This window comes from Homo sapiens, chromosome 16 (assembly GCF_000001405.40).
Source record: "Homo sapiens chromosome 16, GRCh38.p14 Primary Assembly".
NCBI classification, from domain to species: domain Eukaryota; kingdom Metazoa; phylum Chordata; class Mammalia; order Primates; family Hominidae; genus Homo; species Homo sapiens.
Genome location: NC_000016.10, coordinates 78,304,505 through 78,323,521, shown reverse-complemented (window position 1 = coordinate 78,323,521; position 19,017 = coordinate 78,304,505). Strand labels below are relative to the sequence as shown.

At 43.4% G+C, this 19,017-nt stretch overlaps 1 protein-coding gene across 2 annotated transcripts in view, besides 3 other annotated features; it reads right to left on the bottom strand.

Annotated features, from left to right (window-relative positions):
* WWOX (WW domain containing oxidoreductase) overlaps positions 1 to 19,017 on the bottom strand; it is a 1,113,014-nt gene that overhangs the window by 889,146 nt on the left and 204,851 nt on the right. The gene's annotated exons all lie outside the window — the stretch shown is intronic.
* Positions 879 to 1,048: an enhancer, noted in NCBI's record as "experimental_46172 CRE fragment used in MPRA reporter constructs". NCBI's record gives its function as "activates a minimal promoter by MPRAs in K562 erythroleukemia cells, with activity observed for both the introgressed and non-introgressed 16:78356456 variant alleles {active_cell/tissue: K562}" and the evidence as "EXISTENCE:reporter gene assay evidence [ECO:0000049][PMID:34662402]".
* Positions 9,543 to 10,044: an enhancer, noted in NCBI's record as "NANOG hESC enhancer chr16:78347375-78347876 (GRCh37/hg19 assembly coordinates)". NCBI's record gives its function as "activates a minimal SCP1, AML or CMV promoter by ChIP-STARR-seq in naive H9 embryonic stem cells {active_cell/tissue: H9 hESC(naive)}" and the evidence as "EXISTENCE:reporter gene assay evidence [ECO:0000049][PMID:30033119]".
* Positions 11,775 to 12,355: an enhancer, noted in NCBI's record as "OCT4-NANOG hESC enhancer chr16:78345064-78345644 (GRCh37/hg19 assembly coordinates)". NCBI's record gives its function as "activates a minimal SCP1, AML or CMV promoter by ChIP-STARR-seq in naive H9 embryonic stem cells {active_cell/tissue: H9 hESC(naive)}" and the evidence as "EXISTENCE:reporter gene assay evidence [ECO:0000049][PMID:30033119]".

Below are 19,017 nucleotides of genomic sequence, written 5' to 3'. Positions count from 1 at the left end.
AATAGAGCTCAAAGAGGAGGGTAGAAAAAGCAGAAACTGCTGGGTCTCCTGATAACAATTTATCATTAACTGAGCCTTGCTTGCTTACTGTCTCCCTACTATTAATACAAGATCCCCGGCCGGGCGCAGTGGCTCACGCCTGTAATCCCAGCACTTTAGGAGGCTGAGGCTGACAGATCATGAGGTCAGGAGATCGAGACCATCCTGGCTAACATGGTGAAACCCCGTTTCTACTAAAAATAAAAAAATTAGCCGGGCATGGTGGCGGGGGCCTGTAGTCCCACCTACTCAGGAGGCTGAGGCAGGAGAATGGCGTGAACCCGGGAGGCAGAGATGTAGTGAGCTGAGATCGTGCCACTGTACTCCAGCCTGGGCAACAGAGCAAGACTCCGTCTCAAACAAACAAACAAAAAAAAATACAAGAACCCCAAATCATAGCAGGCTGTAGGTAAGGAACGCCTGTTTTATTTTCTTCTTTTTGAGACAGAGTCTCATTCTGTCACCCAGGCTGGAGTGCAATGGCCCATCATCCAAACCTAACCCAATGCCAGTGTTTGTAGGGCTTGTAAACTAAGAATGGTTTTCATATTTTTAAATGGTTGAAAGAGATCAGAGTAAGTTGTGATCATGAAAATCATAAAAAGTTCAAGTTTCCATGTCCATACATAATTTTAATTGAAACACTCCCATACTCATTTTCTTACGTAGCGTCCATGGCTGCTCCTGTGCTGTGGTGACAAAGTGGAACAGTTGCAAAAGACTGTACTGCAAAGCATAAAATACTGTCTCTCCCTTACAGAAAATGTTTGCCTGCCCCTGCTCCACAGAGTAACTTTGTTGATAATCATAAAAACAAAGTAATCATTGGAGGTAGCCACACCTGGTGATGAAGAGTTGCTTCAGAAGATTTAATTCAGGTCTACCTGGGTTTGAATTGTACCTCTCACACTCACTGACTGTACGATGCTAGGGGCAAGTTACTTCATCTGTGAATCCCCACTTTCCCCATCCTTAAATTGGGCTAATAACATCTATCTCACTGGGTTGTTGAGAAGTTTAAAAAGGCACAAGCGTGAAAACCTTTGGCCTGATCCTGGCGATCACGAACACTCAGTGAGTGCTAGTCATTATTATCATATACTATTTCCTTAAGAAAAACTTCAGAAATACATAACAATGCATTACATTACAAAGGGAGTCAAAGTCAAAATGTCATTTTTTCCCCTTAATGCTGGCTAATACACAGAAGGCTTGGAAGACATTAAAAACAACAGAAGAAACTATATAATCAGCATTAACAAAATCCAGATGGATTTTGGCTCATTTGCTCTTTCGAATTGTTTGTCCTTGTCTTCCCCCCACCAACCATCCCCCTGGCAGGGCAAGTGAGAAGTAAATACACAATCATCTGGTTTATATAGGATGAAATTGAAACCATTTGGCTTTTTGTACAACTAGGAGCCAAATATTTAGGCAAAACATTTGGGTCTGTCCACTTTAGCTGCTGTTCTCATGCACTGATTTGAATTTGCGTTCCATCCACAACCTGTCTCTGCAGGTCTGTCACTTATGCAGGTGTTAAACAACCACTCACAACTAAAATCCATTTGCATCTGTTTGGTTGGGAAGAGCGCATGTCACTAAATGTCAACAGAATCATATGCCTCTCCATCCCCCTCTCCCCAGCCTCCAAGCGTCGCTCTTTAGAGCTGTGCTGGAAACACTAACAGACGACAGCCACTGACAGGGAGGGCCTGTGATGTGTGTGCTGACGCCAGGCACCAAGCCTGTGTTCTCACTCCTACATCATCACCCTTAACTACCACGCGGCTTCCAATCATTTACTTTTCCATGCACTCTGGTGTACCACTCAAGAAAATGACAGAGTAATAAGATAATACATAAATTCAAGCCCCACGTCTTTATTCACTGTTAGGACATCCATTTAAGGACTTCAAATTCAGTCCTACACACCCACAAACATCAGACAAGGATTCTCGTGGCAGACTACGAATCCACTCCAAGTTTCAATAAGCCTTCCCATGATGTCATTCTACTCTAGCCTTAACATTATTTAAATATATTTTTATATATATATATACACACATATATATATACGTATATATACGTATATATATACGCATATATACGTATATATATACGCATATATACGTATATATATACGCATATATACGTATATATATACGCATATATATACGTATATATATACGTATATATATATATTTAAAAAACTAAGAACCTACGTGTTGCCTTAAACAAAAGAGAATTGTGGAGCAAGGGAGTGGGTGGTACTCAGCTTCTAAAACTCCTGTTCCAGAAAGATACATTTTCAATTAAGGCCTATACATTCCTTTTTGCAACAGAAATTTTATGTACCCAACTTTTCTACGCTTTAAAAGACACTCTGGTGTTCAGGCAGCAGGCTGTTTTTAGCAGCACTGAGTATGAGTATTCTCATATGCCATCTGTGAGGCTATTGGTTAAGGTGTGAGTACATTATAAATAGAATCAAGCTACAAACAATGCAGACTCTAATTGTAAACAAGACAATTAACCTAAAATCCTGTGCAGTCTGGCGCCCAAAGCAAGACAACAGCTTCAGAAACACATGAAGCTATTTTCATTTTTGTGATCAAGTCATGGCTTCAATTAAAGACAGAAATCCTGTGTTAGTACAGATGAGATGATGTCAAAGTTTTCTAAGAATGTTACTTCTCTCTTCTGTTAGGCAAGGTATACCATCTTCTGCAAAACAGCTGGATCATTTGTCAATAACCAAGAGAAACAGATGGTTAGAAACATCCAGATACTTGAAAACATCTGGATATTTCATTCTTCATCCAGATGTTTGGCTTCCCCTAGGTGCAGCCTGCTGTCTTTGGTTGAATAATTCTAGAAAGCATTTGGCCAAGAGGTAAGTTGACTTCTTCAATACCTTCTCCAGATAATTAGGTTTGGCAAAGGAAGCCCACTTTGGGGAATAATGCTCTTACGGGGATTTATTTTATCAGTATGAATTAACCAAACTATTTCTGGAAACAGCTAGGGACTTAAAAACAAATGCACAATGTGTCCACTGTGCAAGTTCAGTCATGTTCAACCGTCTACTTGGAGTTCACAGAAGTCTAACTACCCCCAGATACAGAATCTGAACCAATTTAGTATGACAACCTACACCGAAGGGGATAAAAAACAAAAGTCTGTTGAGTAAATGCAGGTAAAATTGCTTATAATGCTTGTGTACTCTTCCACTTAAAAACCCAGAGAAAATTTCAGTTCTGTACCTTGAATACTCTCATTTGCTCGTACATGCAAGGAAGGTTTTCTCGGCTCAGACTCTGTATACAGTCACGTACATGAAGCTGAGAAAACATTGAGTAAAGCTAAGTTTTTGCCCTCATGCAGTTTCCAGCCTACTTAGGGAGAAAGAGAAACAAATACTCTCACCCAAATATACCATTATCCATACAGCATGATAAGTGCTAAGAAATAAAGTTAAAAGATATAATGAGAGTTTACATTAGGAGGGAATTCTGATTGGGATTAGATGCTCAGAGAGGGGTTGTCAGAGAACTTAAAAGATGACTATTTCGCCAGGAAAACTGGAAAAAGTGCCTCCCAGGCAGAAAAGACGCGTGAGGTGATGCCTGAAGAGTAAAAGTTTTGCTTCCTCACAGGCTGAAAGAAAGGCTAAGGGCGGAGGGTGGCAAGTGTGACTTCAAGGGGTAGCACAGAGAGACCTCGGTGCAGATGGAACAGTCCTGTATTTTAGTAGTGGCGGTGGTTAAATGAACCTACGCATGTGATAAAAATGGCATAGAACGTTTATTTTTCCATTGCTATGTGACACATTAATAAGAAATTCACGGCTTGAAATAACACACATTTATTCTTTTATAGCTCTGGAGTCAGAAGACCAACTGGGATCTGAAGGGGCTAAGATTAAGACATCAGCAGGGTCCTGTAATCTCAGCAGATTGGGAGGCCAAGGAGGGAGGACCGCTTGAGCCCAGGGGTTTGAGACCAGCCTGGGCAACATGATGAAACCCCACCTCTACTAAAAATACAAAAAAGTTAGCCGGGCGTGATGGTACACACTGTAGTCCCAGCTACTTAGGAGGTTGAGGTGGGAGGATCGCAGTGAGCCATGATAGCGCCACTGCACTCCAGCTTGGGCGAGAGCAAAACCCTGTCTCAAAAATAAATAAGAAAATAGTAAAACGACATCAGCAAGGTGTGTTCCCTTCTGGTAGCTCTACGGTAGAATCCATCTCATTGCCTTTTCCACCTTCTAGAGGCTGCCTACTTTCTGTGGCTCATGCCCGCCTCCCTCCATTTTCAAAGCCAGCAATGTGTGGCGGTGTCCTTCTCATGCTGCCATCTCACTGCCTGACTCATCCGACTCTCTCTCCCCCTTTTAGGAATCCTGGCAATTACACTGTGCCCAACCAGATAACCCTGGGTAATCTCCTGATTTTAACTTCGCAGGATCAGTAACTTGAATTTCATCTGCAATCTTAATTTTCCTCTTCCATGTAACAAAGCATATCCATAGTTTCCGCGGATTAGGACGCAGACATCCTAATAAGGGCCATTATTTTACCTACCTGGAATTATACACTCACATTGTACCCAGGCATGTTTCCTGGTTTGGATCCTGTACTGTAGTTATATAAGGAGTCATGCTTGTAGAAAAGTGAGTAAAAATCACAGGGATCCCCTCTGTGCTATTTTTTAACTTCCTATATCAGAATAGTGTTAAAATAATTTTTAAAATAGCCAGTACTTACAGAAATTATGTATGTACAGTACAGCTAAAAGCACTTAACATTTATTATCCCACTTACTCCCCACAGCAAGCCTATAAGGTGGGTACTATTCCCATTCTACAACTGAGAAAATGGAAGGATTTTATTAATTTATCCAAAGCTACTGGAATCCAAGTACTGTGTGCCTAAATGTTGTGTTCTTAACATTTGTTTTAAGAACTCCAATTTAGTTAAGGAACCAAATATATGGACCACAAATCAACAATTAGGAAACAACAGAATAATATTATTTTTGACAGAATTGCGCTCTTGTCGCCCAGGCTGAAGTGCAGTGACGCAATCTCGGCTCACAGCAACCTCTCCTTTATACATTTTCTCCTCATTCCTGTCTCCATTGCCCTCAAAACCAACACTTTTCTAGAACTGTAAACACAGATATACCAAAAAAAAAAAAAAAAATTCCTCCCAGACGGAGGGCTCCTAAGAGTTTCTGTAGGCTGCTTCTGGGTTTCCACAGCCATTTAATTATGGTCCTCTGCCCCCGGGAAGTAAAGATCAACTACATGTCACCCTCTAACTCTGAATTTGAGGGACGCAGTGCCTTTAAATCAAAGGGAAAGTGACTCACATCCCCTTGGTGTTCTCTAAAAGGATATTGTTAGAACCAATTTCTACGCCTGGATCTTTTGTGCTCCAGGGTAGAAGCAGGCAGCGGTCCAAATACTGTGGAACCTTTTCAGCAGCTATCAGGAAAAAGTCACTACCACTTTGCTTTCAAACCCAGGCTGAAAAAGAAATTCGCAAAGCCAGTGCATGAGGGGATTAGCAATGTCTTCTAAAACAGAAACAGAAGATGTTTACGGGGAGTGAAAATGAATGATAGTAGTCTCACTGTCCACTCTCATTTCCTCATGGTTCCACCAAGTCCTTGGATGTCATAAACACTGTTGGGGGAATAAAATGCTCTAATAAATCAAGGTGAGGACACCGTGAAGGGGGCCCATGGGGAGGCACACCTGCTGAGTCGCTTACTCTCTGGACAGAGTCAACAGAGAGCAGGAGTCCAGAGCCTAAACGAGGCAGACTTCGAAAAAACACCAGATTTTTCTCACTTTACGCAAGTGTGTGCACACACACACACACTCACAGTCACACACTCTCAGGTTCTGGAAGGAGGTAAGGTACTTTTCTCTGCCATTATCCAACCCGATGCTTGTCCTGTGCCTTAGTACATGGTTTCTCAGCCTGAATACTGTTGACATTTGGGGACGGGTCATTCTTTGTGTGGGCACGGTCCTGCACATTGTAGGATGATTGACAGCATCTATCTGCTAGATGCAGTATCCAGTCTCCATCACACTGTAACAAACACAATCACCCCTGGGGAAGAAACACTGCTTTACCTAAAATGTGAGTGAGAGAGACAGAAACAGAGACAGAGAGAGACAGACAGAGAGAGAGAGAGAATTCACCCCAAAGTATCACTCAAGTTCCTGCAGTTGTTCACCCCATTCCTCACTGGCCTAACTCCTATTCACCTTTCCAAACACAGCCTCAACACAACTTCTTTCCAGAAGCCTTCCCTTACTCCTCCATTCTTTGGACGGGTGAGATGGTCCTTCTCCAAGTCCCTCCAATTTCCTGGGCCAATGGATCCCTTATCCCACCACTGGCCTACTTACTGTGCAGGCTTCACCTTTGGATTCTAATATCCTTCCAAAAAGCAACTTTCCTTCATCTTTGCACTTCCAGCATTCAGCCAAATGTCCAGGTCTTATTAGATGTTCAATAAAAGTTTGTTGGAAAAACGAATAATGAATTCACAAAGATAAATGGTAGTTTCAGCAAGGAGGCATGTCCCAGGGTGCAGGGTTGGTACTGAATGGTATACATCTATCACTTAAAAAGCAGCATTGAAAAATACTAGAGCTAGCAGTCTACCCTCTGTGATGGAACATAAGAAAGCAATTACTTTACCATCACCATTTTCCAGTAACAGAAGCTTATAGATTGCAAAGTTGGATAAAGCAGCAGAAAAGACAATACAGAAGTTAACAAGTCCCATTTTCCAGATTTAAAAAACAGACTTGGCCAGGCACCGTGGCTCAGGCCTATAATCCCAGCACTTTGGGAGGCCGAGACGGGCAGAACACCTGAGGCCAGGAGTTTTAGAACAGCCTGGCCAACACCGCAAAACCACATCTCTATTAAAAATACCAAAATTACCCAGGCATAGTGGCAGGCACCTGTAATCCCAGCTACTCAGGAGCCTGAGGCAGGAGAATCGCTTGAACCCAGGGGGGTCGGAGGTTGCAGTGAGCCAAGATCACGCCATTGCACCCCAGCCCAGGTGACAAGAGCAAAACCCTTTTTAAATTCCCTGGCCATTCCACTTCAGGGAATCTAACCTAACAAAGCCATCTGAGGTACACAACAGAACAATATTCTGTGCACACATGTGGATGCTGTTTGCTGCAGTGCCACCTTTTTGGAGATGTGGCTCTGTTGCCCAGACTGGAGTACACTAGCATGGTCTCGACTGAATGCAACCTCCACCTCCCAGGTTCAAGGCGATTCTCCTGACCCAGCCTCCCAAGTAGCTGGGACCACAGGTGCATGCTAACATGCCTGATTTTTTTTTTATTTTCAGTAGAGACAGGGTTTCACCATGTGGGCCAGGCTAATCTTAAACTCCTGACCTCAAGTGATCCGCCCACCTCAGCCTCCCAAAGTGCTGGGATTACAGGTTTGAGTGACCGCAACTGGCCTGCAGTGCCACTTACAACAAAAACAAAAGAAAACGAGAAACCTGATAAATATTCAACACGAGGAGAGTAGTTAAATACAGATACATCTACTGTGGCTGGGAATTTTTGGTGATTTTTCTTATCTTCTATGTATTTTTTTTTAAACTAATGGAATCATATTTCTACCTGAGTTACCCATCTGAAAATGGCGATAACATGGAGTCATTGTAAGGATGAACCAGACAGTGTAAGCACCTGCTGAGTGGCATTAGCGCACAAGAAATGATTGTTTTCCCCTCTCTAATCACATAATTTTTATTCATTTTTATTCTTTTTTGAGACAGTCTTGCTCTGTCACCCAGGCTGGAGTACAGTGGCATGATCTCAGCTCACTACAACCTCTGCTTCCCGGGTTCAAGCGATTCGCCTGCCTCAGCCTCCTGAGCAGCTGGGATTACAGCTGCACCCCACCATGCCCAGCCAATTTTTATATCTGTAGCAGAGATGGGGGTCTCACCATGTTGGCCGGGCTGGTCTCGAACTCCTAACCTCAAGTGATCCGCCGGCCTTGGCCTCCCCAAGTGCTGGGATTACAGGCTTGAGCCACCTCACTCAGCATAATCATATAATTATTTTTATCATATCAAACTACAGAGTTATCCTCTAAAGGGCACAATGAAGCTTTTACAAGGAAAAAAAACAGTTTCACTTCTCATGTCTACATTTCTATTACTCCTCACCTAGTGATTTTAGATATAGAACAATTTCAAGGAAAAGGTAGCTGTTTCAGGGAAAATTCTACTTTGGCCTCGCGTTCAGAGTTTTCTTACATAAGAAAATTTGCTATTTCTATAGCAGACAGAAGAAAAAGTGACAAAATTAAAGCCAAAAAAGAGAAATCGATAGATAGCTAGATGATAGATGATTGATAGATGGTGGATGGAGACAGAAAGGCTAGAATGAAATGCTGAGGAAGTATCAGGACATGTGAGTGAAGGAGAAGTTCTTCTTTTACGAAGGACATTGGCAAGAATTCCCATCCCATGTGTTAACTGACCTTCTAGCTGACCACAAAGGTGAGGGAAGGTTGCTGGAAAAACTGAGATGGCTCAGTACATCAAAATGACACCATTCACCAGGCGTGATGGCTCATGCCTGTAATCCCAGCACTTTGGGAGGCCAAGGCGGGTGGCTTGCCTAAGGTCAGGACATTGAGACCAACCAGGCCAACATGAAGAAACCCTGTCTCTACTGAAAATACAGAAAAAAAAAAAAAAAAAAAACAAAAAAAAAAAACCCCTGCAGGGTGGGGTGTGCCTGTAGTCCCAGCTACTCAGGGGGCTGAGGCAGAAGAATCGCTTGAACCCAGGAGGTAGAGGTTGCAGTGAGCCAGTATCACGCCATTACACTCCAGCCTGGGCGACAAGAGCAAAACTCCGACTCAAAAAAAAAAAAAAACCCCACAAATTGGCACCATCCTGATAGAGGTGGACTTGGTGGTTGCTGTAACGTACTGGCAGCAGGGGGATAAATGTTCAGGGGTCCTACGTATGTCCTGTACTTTTTTTTTTTTTTTTTTGAGACAGAGTCTCACTCTGTTGCTCAGGCTGGAGTGCAGTGGCTCGATCTCGGCTCACTGCAACCTCTGCGTCCTGGGTTCACACCATTCTCCTGCCTCAGCCTCCCGAGTAGCTGAGACTACAGGCCCACCACCATGCCTGGCTAATTTTTTTTGTATTTTTAGTAGAGACGGGGTTTCACTGTGTTAGCCAGGATGGTCTCCATCTCCTGACCTCGTGATCTGCCAGCCTCTGCCTCCCAAAGTGCTGGGATTCCAGGCGTCAGCCATCGTGCCCGGCCTCTCCTGTACTTTCTTAGAAGTGCTTTGTGTTTTTTATTTTAATTCTCACCATAACTGAAGGAGACAGATGCCCAGCTCCATTTTATAGATGTGTGAGGCACAGAAAGATGAAGCAGCTTGTTAGAAAGCGGAACAGCCAGGATTTCGACTCGACCTGGTCTCCTGAACCTGTGTCAGCACGGATATAAGGGAAGTGTCACTGGGGACAAAAATCACTCTAAGACTGGACAATTCCAATCTGAGAATGAATTCTGATGAATGACAGGGAAGTGAAGCTAAATGCTGAGCTCCTTAAACAGGAAGGATCAAAGGCTAGTGAAACCAAATTCTGATGGCCTCTCTAGCCCTCTTCCATAATAGAAGAGCCTCAAAATGTAGACAAGGGGACTCAGCATTTAGATGGCAGGGACATCGACAGAGAAGAAAGCAAGCAATCACGGTACGTAGGAAAAACAATAGGCCTGACGCAGTGGCTCATGCCCGTAATCCCAACACCTTGGGAGGCCAAGGCAGGCAGATCACCTGAGGTCAGGAGTTTGAGGCCAGCCTGACCAACATGGAGAAACCCCGTCTCTACTAAAAACACAAAAATTAGCTGGGTGTGGTGGCACATGCCTGTAATCTCAGCTACTCCAGGGGCCAAGGCAGGAGAATTGCTTTAAACGGGAGGCAGAGCTTGTGGTGAGCTAAGATCGTACCACTGTACTCCAGCCTGGGCAACAAGAGTGAAACTCCATCTCAAAAAAAGAAAAAAGAAAAACAACGAAACACATCTCTGAACACTTGCTATAAGCCAGCACTGTTCAGACGTTCTATCATGTTCCCAGCAGATCTATAATACAGGGTGAGTTATAAGCCATATTTTATAGATAAGGAAGTCAAGGATCCCAGTCTGAGGTTCCATGGCTAGCAAGTGGAAGAGCCCTGTGTTGGAGTCTAAGATGTCTGATTTCCAAGTCTACCACATGCCCTTTCTGCCCATTACATTGACTTTGGCCACCCAGGTGGATTTTCCTGTTATTCTTTAGATGTTATAGGTACTCAGATGTTGAAAAAGAAGTAATCTGAAAACAGGACATGTCTGGTGTTAGTAGGACACAAATCTGCCCCCGTGAATGAAAACATTCACAATCACTCAACAGGTATCTACTTAACCCTCCTGTACACCAGGCAGCTGGGAACCCACTGATAAGGGGAGAGAATGGCACACAGCACATGCCCATAGACAGAGGCAGTGGGAAGTGAGGCCCTGCGTGCTACCACCTCGGAGGCTGACCACTTAGGGCAGAGCCTAGGCCTGTCTGGTTGGTTCAGTCACAAGACTGGACCTAAGGTATGGCATGAACTTCTAAGCACATTGTCCATAAAGCCAGACGACCTTCAGTCTTGCTTCCTCCAATGCAGAGAAATCCTACAGTTGCTGAGATTGCTAGAATTAGGCCTACAACCAGCCAGGCACAGTGGCTCATGCCTGTAATCTCAGCACTTTGGGAGGCCAAGGTAGGTGGATCACCTCAGGTCAGGAGTTCGACACCAGCCTAGCCAACGTGGTGAAACCCCATCTCTACTAAAAATTCAAAAGTTAGCTGGGCATGGTGGCAGGCACCTGTAATCCCAGCTACTCAGGAGGCTGAGGCAGAACTGCTTGAACACAGGAGGTGGAGGTTGCAGTGAGCAGAAATCATGCCATTGCACTCCAGCCTAGGTGACAAGAGCACAACTCCGTCTTAAAAAAAAAAAAAGAATTAGACCTACAACTCCAGCTGGCCACTCACTAGCAATATAAGTGTTTCCTTACTTGAAGTTTTCAACGGAGAAAGAAGCTAAAATTACCCCCTACAAAAGATACTGTAAAGCTGAATTCAATTAAAAAATTAAAATAAAATCGAGACTACGCCAGGTTATATGAATTAAGGTTGCAGATAGAATTAGGTTTGCTAGTCAGCTGACCTTAAAGTGACCCTTGATAGCTATCCAGCTGAGACCAATGAAATCACAAGGGTCCTTAAAAGTAAGAGGAGGAGGCAAAAGACAAAGAACCAGAGACATGGCCATTGAAGGAGTCAGCCCAATGTTGCTGGCTGGAAGGTGACCGAAAAGGAGCCATGGATCGAGGAACATGGGCAGTCTCTGTAACGTGGAAAAGGCCAGGAAATGTATTCTCCTCTACAGTATCCAAAAGAACACAGCTCTGAAGACACCTGGATTTTAGCCCAGGGAGGCCTGTGTCAGACCTCTGACCTCCAGAACTTTAAGAAAATAAATGTCTTGTCTCAAGACACTAAGTTTGAAGAACTTTGTTATGGCAGCCACAGAAAAATGAATACCCCCCCGCCAGGCTGCTTTTTAAAAATAATTATTACGTTAAGTAATGAACATTTTTCTTCCTTCAAAAAAATATTAAAGCATTATAAACCAGACTAAAGTCTGCCTTTGGCTTTTCTTCTCCTACTCCCCATCTCTCCTACAGCCATTACCACTAGAAGTAAGTTGAGTCTGGATTCTTTAGGCCCACTCATCTGCATTTCTGCACATGTATTTGTAAGGTCACATTGCTTGCTCACTGTTACGGCATTGCCAGTCATTAAACAGTTAACACGCATCTCCCCAGGAGGGAAGTAGCTCAAAAGCCCAACAACTGCAGAGGAATCAGTGTCTGCTTCAGTGCTCCTGGGGGTGAAGGAAGTGACAGTTTGAGTACCTTTCAGCATACCTTCTGTCTCCCAGTTATAAATCCTCCATTCCGGACCTTGTGGTAGGAACTGAATTCTCCAAGCTTGACTCTGTTAAGTGTTCATTGCTTAGATGATCAAGAAAGGAATTTGTTTATATACATCAGGCCTTGGATTACCAAAAAAATTGGCTGAAGACATACAGGGAATGCAACTGATAGGAAACCAACCAGTCCAACCACACTGTGCCACCTAGACATAATAAATGCCCACAAAGCTGCCAGAAATTGCTCACACTTCACCCACCGCCCCCCTTTCTTTTTCTTTAACCCACAGGATGTCTGGTATTTTTCACAAGTCCCACATCTGTACCCCATAGCTTCTGGGAGACTATTCACAAATCACAAATTAAGTCAGACTTTCAGTGCACTAGGTGTTTGAAATCTTCCTCTAAGCCACGCAGGCAGCTGGCTCTTGCACTCACTCGTCTATTTCTCTGGGGCTTCCCAAGCATCCACTCCGATGCCAAGCCTGGCTCCTGTACATCGTGACAACAAGGGTGCCCCTACCCTCGAAGGTGGGTCTGGGGCTGCGTTACAGAGGCTCATTTCTTGCTGGGAATTGAACTGGGTTCTCTCAGGGCTTAAAACATTGAAAAGAGATGAAAATGGGCTGACACAGCTGTGAGAGCAAGCAAAGGTGAGTAAAACTCCTTTCTTACAAGCCTTACCCTTGCTAATGGAAGCCAAATCTCTAGAGCAAGGTTTTGGGGTATAAATCCCCGATCCCAGAGAGATGCCAAATGTGCTGACACGAAGCATGCCTTTTCCACTGTGACTGGCACATGGCCCGCACCCTTTGCATGCAGAAGCACCGGGGTGGCATGCATTCTGGTGACCACTAAGTCTTACTGTACATTCAGGTCCACTTAGCTGCAATGGCACGTCCTTTAGATACACAGCCAAAGGCATCAATCTGGTGATTTGGCCTTGCTCTCAGAGCTGAAAACAAATTAGCTTCCCAAGGAGTATAATCAGCATGTGTTTGTTATTCTGTGAAATATTAATTCATTCAGTCAACAAACATAGTGCAGGCTGTGTGTGCGTGCATGTGTGAGCACATGCCAAACACTGGCCAGGAGGTGTGAGACAAAGCCCAGAAGCACACGTTTCTAGAAAAGCCACATACAATAGAGGTGAAATTTCAGTGGGTTGTGTGTGTAGCATAAGAAAATTCGTGGGTAGAAGGAAACACAATAAATGTTCTTACGGAAAATTCTGTATTACTTTTGGATACAGTTACCAGCAACAAAAACAGATGGGTTTAAAACAATGGGGCAAGAGAGCTATGGATGATGATAGAAAGAAAAGGAAAAAGAGAGGGGGAAGGAGGGGGAAGGAGGAGGAAGGGAAGATAATGACAATAATTGTGCAGATCACAGGAGCGACAGTAACTAAATGCGTATTAATGCCCAGACCCTGGCTCTACGAACTTCACGCATATAACCTAATTTAATCCTCCCCCAAATCCTGCCATACATCCAATTATTATCCCTATTTACATAGGAGAACACTCTAACTAGAACAATTAAACAACCTGTCATGGTCCAGGTAGTGGAGCCAGGATTAGAGTTAGACTTCAGGACCACAAGACAGACACTGCTGGGTGCACATCTCCCATCATCCTTTCATTTCTCTTATTAACAGCATTCCAGTTTAATTCTGGGTAGTCACGTACGTTGATTGAAAGAGTGAAACTCTAAAATATTTAAAGAAGTTTATTCCCGACCCAAACAAGAGTGAACAAAGCCTAAGACAGTCTCAAGGGGTCCTGGGAACGTGTGCCCAAGGTGGCTGGGTTACACCTTGATTTTATACACTTTAGGGGAAAAAAGTTACAGGCACACTTCTATCAATATATGTAAGGAGTACATTGGTTTGGTCCATAAAGGAAGGACAACTCAAAGTGATGGGGATGAGGGCTTCCAAGTCATACGTGGTATATTAGCCCATTCTCACATTGCTACCAAGAACTGCCTGAAACTGGGTAATTTATAAAGGCAAGATGTTTAATTTACTCACAGTTCAGCATGGCTGGGGAGGCCTCAAGAAACTTATAATCAGGGCAGAGTGGAAGCAAAGCACCAGGTTCACAAAGCGGCAGGAAGCAGAATGAACGCAGAGAAACTACCAAACACTTATTTATAACCATCGGATCACGTGAGAACTCACTATCGGGAGTATATGATTCAATTACATCCACCTGGTCTCTCCCTTGACATGTCGGGATTGTGGGGATTACAATTCAAGATGAGATTTGGGGTGGGGATGCAGCCAAACCATATCAGGTGGATTCAAGGATTTTCAGATTGGTAATTGGTTACAAGAGTTATTAACTAAACACCTGAGATCAATAGAAAGGACTGATTTTGGGTGGGGATGTAGCCAAACCATATCACATGGATTCAAGCATTCTGTGATTGGAAATTGGTTAAAGGAGTTATTAGCTAAACACCCGAGATCAACAGATAGGACTGTCTGATTTTGGGTGGCGATGCGGCCAAACCGTATCAGGTAGATTCAAGGATCTTCTGATTGGCAATTGGTTAAAAGTGTTATTAGCTAAACACCTGGCATCAGTAGAAAGGACTATCTGGGTTAAGATAAGTCCACAAAAAGACCAAGGTTCTTATGATGCAGATGAAGCCTCCAGGAAATAGGCCTCAGAGAGAATAAATGGTAAATATCTCTTATCAAAACTAAAAAGGTGCCAGACTCCTAGTGAATCTCTCCTGGATCAGGAAAAGACCTGGAAAGGGAAGGATGTTCTCTACAGAATGTAGACAAGAAACAGCTTTGCAGGGCCATTTCGAAATATACCAGAGAAATATATTTTGGGGTAAAATAATTTGATTTCTTTCCATGCCTGCTATCTGCAAAGTGATCCTATACTAGAGTAGGGTTGAAATTTGGTATCTTATTGCTATAAAGAGTCTGTTTTGTCAGCCTTAGGATCTGTTTTAATGCTAATGCTGTTCAGTTGTGACTGAATTCCAAAAAAAGAAGGGTATAATGAGTCATATCCAACCCCCTCTTCCCATCACTGCCTGAACTAGTTTTTCAGGTTTATTTCGGAATCCCCTTGGCCCAGAGGCAGGGATCCATTCAGTTGCTTGGGGAGCTTAGAATTTATTTTTGGTTTACACTCACCTAGCAAGGGGCAATCACCTCTGCAGACTCTCTTGCAGCTCTGGGTGGCTGTGTGGCATGGTGCTGGCCACTAACATGCTAGGGGAAGGACTCCCACACTGCACTGCCTATTTCCAAAGCTCTCACCATGAGAGAAAAATGAAGGCCTGACTGGGAAAGCTGGGGTCTCAGTCCAGTCCCTGCTAGTGCAGGCACCATGGGAAGGTTAACTCAACTACTGCAGATTCAACTTCAGCCCCCTTCCTCCATCAGCTGCCACATTCCAGAGTGTCACACATGGATCTGAGCTTGGTTCTGAAGTGTGAATGGCATGGTGCTTAACCACAATTGAAACTGTGCTAAATTAGAGTGTGATTTTTTTTTAAGGTACAGTCTTTAACATGCTAGACATCTAGTAAATATCTTTTCAGTAAAAGGAGAAGAGTAAGGAGAGCAAGGAGGGCAGCAATCTGCAAAACCTCCCATGAAAAGGAATATTAAGGGTCCAGTATGTGGGAGGCAGGTGCCTTTACTCTTAGCATTCATACTTGTATGAGTTTCTGATCACTGCTCTAACAAATAACCATGATCTTAGGTCTTAAAACAACACATTTATTCTCTTATCATTCTGGACGTCAAAAGCCCAAAATCAACCTCACTGGGTTAAAAAAATCAAGGTGTCAGCACAGCTGGTTCCTTCTGAATCCTCCAAATGATAATCCATTTCTCACCTCTTTCAGGGGCTAGAAGCCACCAGATTGTTGCCTCACACCTGCTTCACCTCTTCTCCCTGTTTCCTCCTCTTTCGTAGTCACAGTCCCCTCTGCCTCCCTCTCATAAGAACACTTATAATTGTACTTAGGGCCCACTTCGGTAATTCAGGTTCATCTCCCCATTTCAAGATCCTGAACTTGATCACATCTCCAAAGTCCCTTTTTGCCACATAAAGCAACATTCACCGTTTCCAGAAGCCTAGAAGCGTACTCTATTCACTTGTTCAAGAAACATTTATTTGACACTTGGCATTGTGCTAGCAATGAACGGGCAGCAGTGAACAGGTAGTTAGTTCCCTACTTACTTCATAAAAAAAATACCTTTTCTAACAGATGCTGCTTAAGTTCTTGATAAGTCAGGTCCCACAAAGTAGCCACGGTGTAGAAATCCCAGTGAAAACAAGATATGGTAGAGGCTCAAAAAGTTGGAAGTTATTAATGGGTTGCTAACTATTATCTAACAAAGATATAATGGAGAACTGTCACAGGAAACGTTGAAGGAAAAAACCCAGAAGGTTGGAAATGGGTTATGAAACAGATAATACTGGAAACCTGTCATAAGGAGAGTGGGCAGACTACTCACAGACACACTACACAAGTGGGGTTCACTGGGAATTGTGGGAAGGAGTGGGGCTCAGTGGGGATTGTGGGAAGGAGTGAGATTTACAGGGAATTGTGGGAAGGAATGGGACTCAGTGGGGATTGTGGGAAGGAGTGAGATTTACAGGGAATTATGGGACAGAGTGGGGCTCACTGGGGTTGTGGGAAGGAGCAAAATTCACAGGGAATTGTGGGAAGGCATAGGGCTCATCAGGAATTTGGGGAAGGCATGGGGTGGGAATTGTGGTAAGGAGTTGGGCTCACTGGGAATTGTGGGAAGGCAATGTCTCAACTCTTTGATCTGGAGTAAGAAATATCCTCTCCTGGCCACAAGTGGAAGCAAGCCCAATATCCAGGAACAACATTATAAATAGAGTGAATAGTTGAAGCTGCACAGGGGGCCTGCCTTTGGGAAAGGTGCCCAGATGAACTCTCATACAACTCTGGGGACTTCTGTGGACACCATGATGCAGGGTTCTGAAATATCTACTGCCACATGGGAAAGAAAATCTTCAGCAAATCCCTGATCGCCTGACCAGTAACACATAACAACCCATGGAAACACACTGGGAACAGCTAGACTCACCCTTCTAGAATCGTATACTGTAATTATTGTCATTATCCAGAGGTATCATGAATGTTATTATTCCATAAATGCGGTTCCCAAATCATCAAAATTTTTCTTTTTGTCATTTGTTCTTTCTTTGGATGAAGAAGCCACCCGTTCACTATAAATGTAGTTAAGCTATAAAAACATGAATTACTAGAAGGCAAATCCTTTGGAAGACAGGCAGCGAGACGCAAATGCTTCTCCACATGGTCTCTGTGGGCAGGTGTCTATATATAAACACAGCTCGAATTGATTGTGGAATCAATGAGAAAAGTGGATTGCCCATGTAAAGGACATCTGTATTAGAACCTGTTCCCAATCAAAGGAAAGTAATTCTTGGTGGTCTGACCACTTCACTCAAAAAAGAACTGAGCCAACTTTCCTCAATGAGCCTTTCTTCCAACCAAAAAAAAGAAAAAGAAAAAATGAGAGTTGGCTACTGGTTATGGCAATGTTGTGCCACAAGGTTAATAATGATGGGTTTCAGGTCACCGGCAATTTCTCATTTCAAACTAACTTGAACTATCCACTGTCAAGGGCTAATTGTTTAATGTGGGCTGCGTGGTACCCAAGTGGTGGGTGGGTGACTTTCTGTCATTAAATCATTACCAAAACAAGAAAGGGGCTTTTCATTCTTTTTTTTTTTAAAGTGCTCCTATGTTCAAGCTCCATGGATGACACGGTCTTGCTCAGTTTCAAGATGACTGGAACGGGAATGGTCTGGGGCTTTTTAATCAGTTCACGGGATCTGGGCTTTAACTTCCAGAGGGAACTCAGGGGGAAAGATTCCAAATATCCCTGCCATCATTTGGAAGAGTTCTTCCTCCACATTGTCTATGCTTCTTCTTGGATGTTCATTTCACTTCTAAATGGCCAAGGGACTCATCCAGAGGTTACATGGCTTTTTCCTCCTGGCTATTGTGAGCAAGGAGGCCGGAGGGACAGAACACCAGCTCACTTGGCATTTGCTATTAACAGCACCTCCCTGGCAAGGGAGGATCATCACAGCAGCTGGAGGGCCCCGGTCTCCATGAAAAACGTAGTCCCCCAGAAAGGGGAAGGAAAGGAAAAAAAAATTCAGTTGGTGATTTGAATCACACTATGAAGTCCTGGCCTAATACACACTAGTGTGGCAGGAGAAGCTTTGATTTACACAACTTGGGGACTGAGAATCCACAGCAGCAGAAAAGACAGAATTCAGATTCCCAGGTAGGGTGGGGTGAGTGCCTGAGTTTAATCACTGCCCTGTGCTGCCAAGTTATCAGTATGTTTTAAATGGCAAGGAAAGAAGGAAAGAAAAGGAAAAAGGGAAGGAAAGAAAAGAAAAAAAAAGAGGAAGAAGGGAAAAGAGGAAGGAAAGAGAGGAAGAAAAATGGATAGTGAGGAAAATGGGGATTTTCCCAATGCTAGCGAAATGTGTCAAATGGTTCAACCTCAACAGAGAGAAAGTTGGCCATATTGTACAGAATTCCTCTTCTAGGAATGGATCCTTTCTAGGAATAGATCCTTTCCATTCAGTGATACATGTTGACAGGAAATGTGTACAAGGTTGCCCATTATGGTGTTGTTCATAATAGCAAAATAATGGATACAACCCTAACATCCATCAACAAAGAATGCTTGAATAAATTACAGACCAGCTCTGCAATGGATTATCGTGAAGCAGCACGCGTATATATCTCTTTATATATTAATATGAAAAAGTCTCTATGAAATATTGTGAAGTGAATTGTGTGGAGTGCAAAACAGTGTGCTTACCCTGCAGACATTTTACTA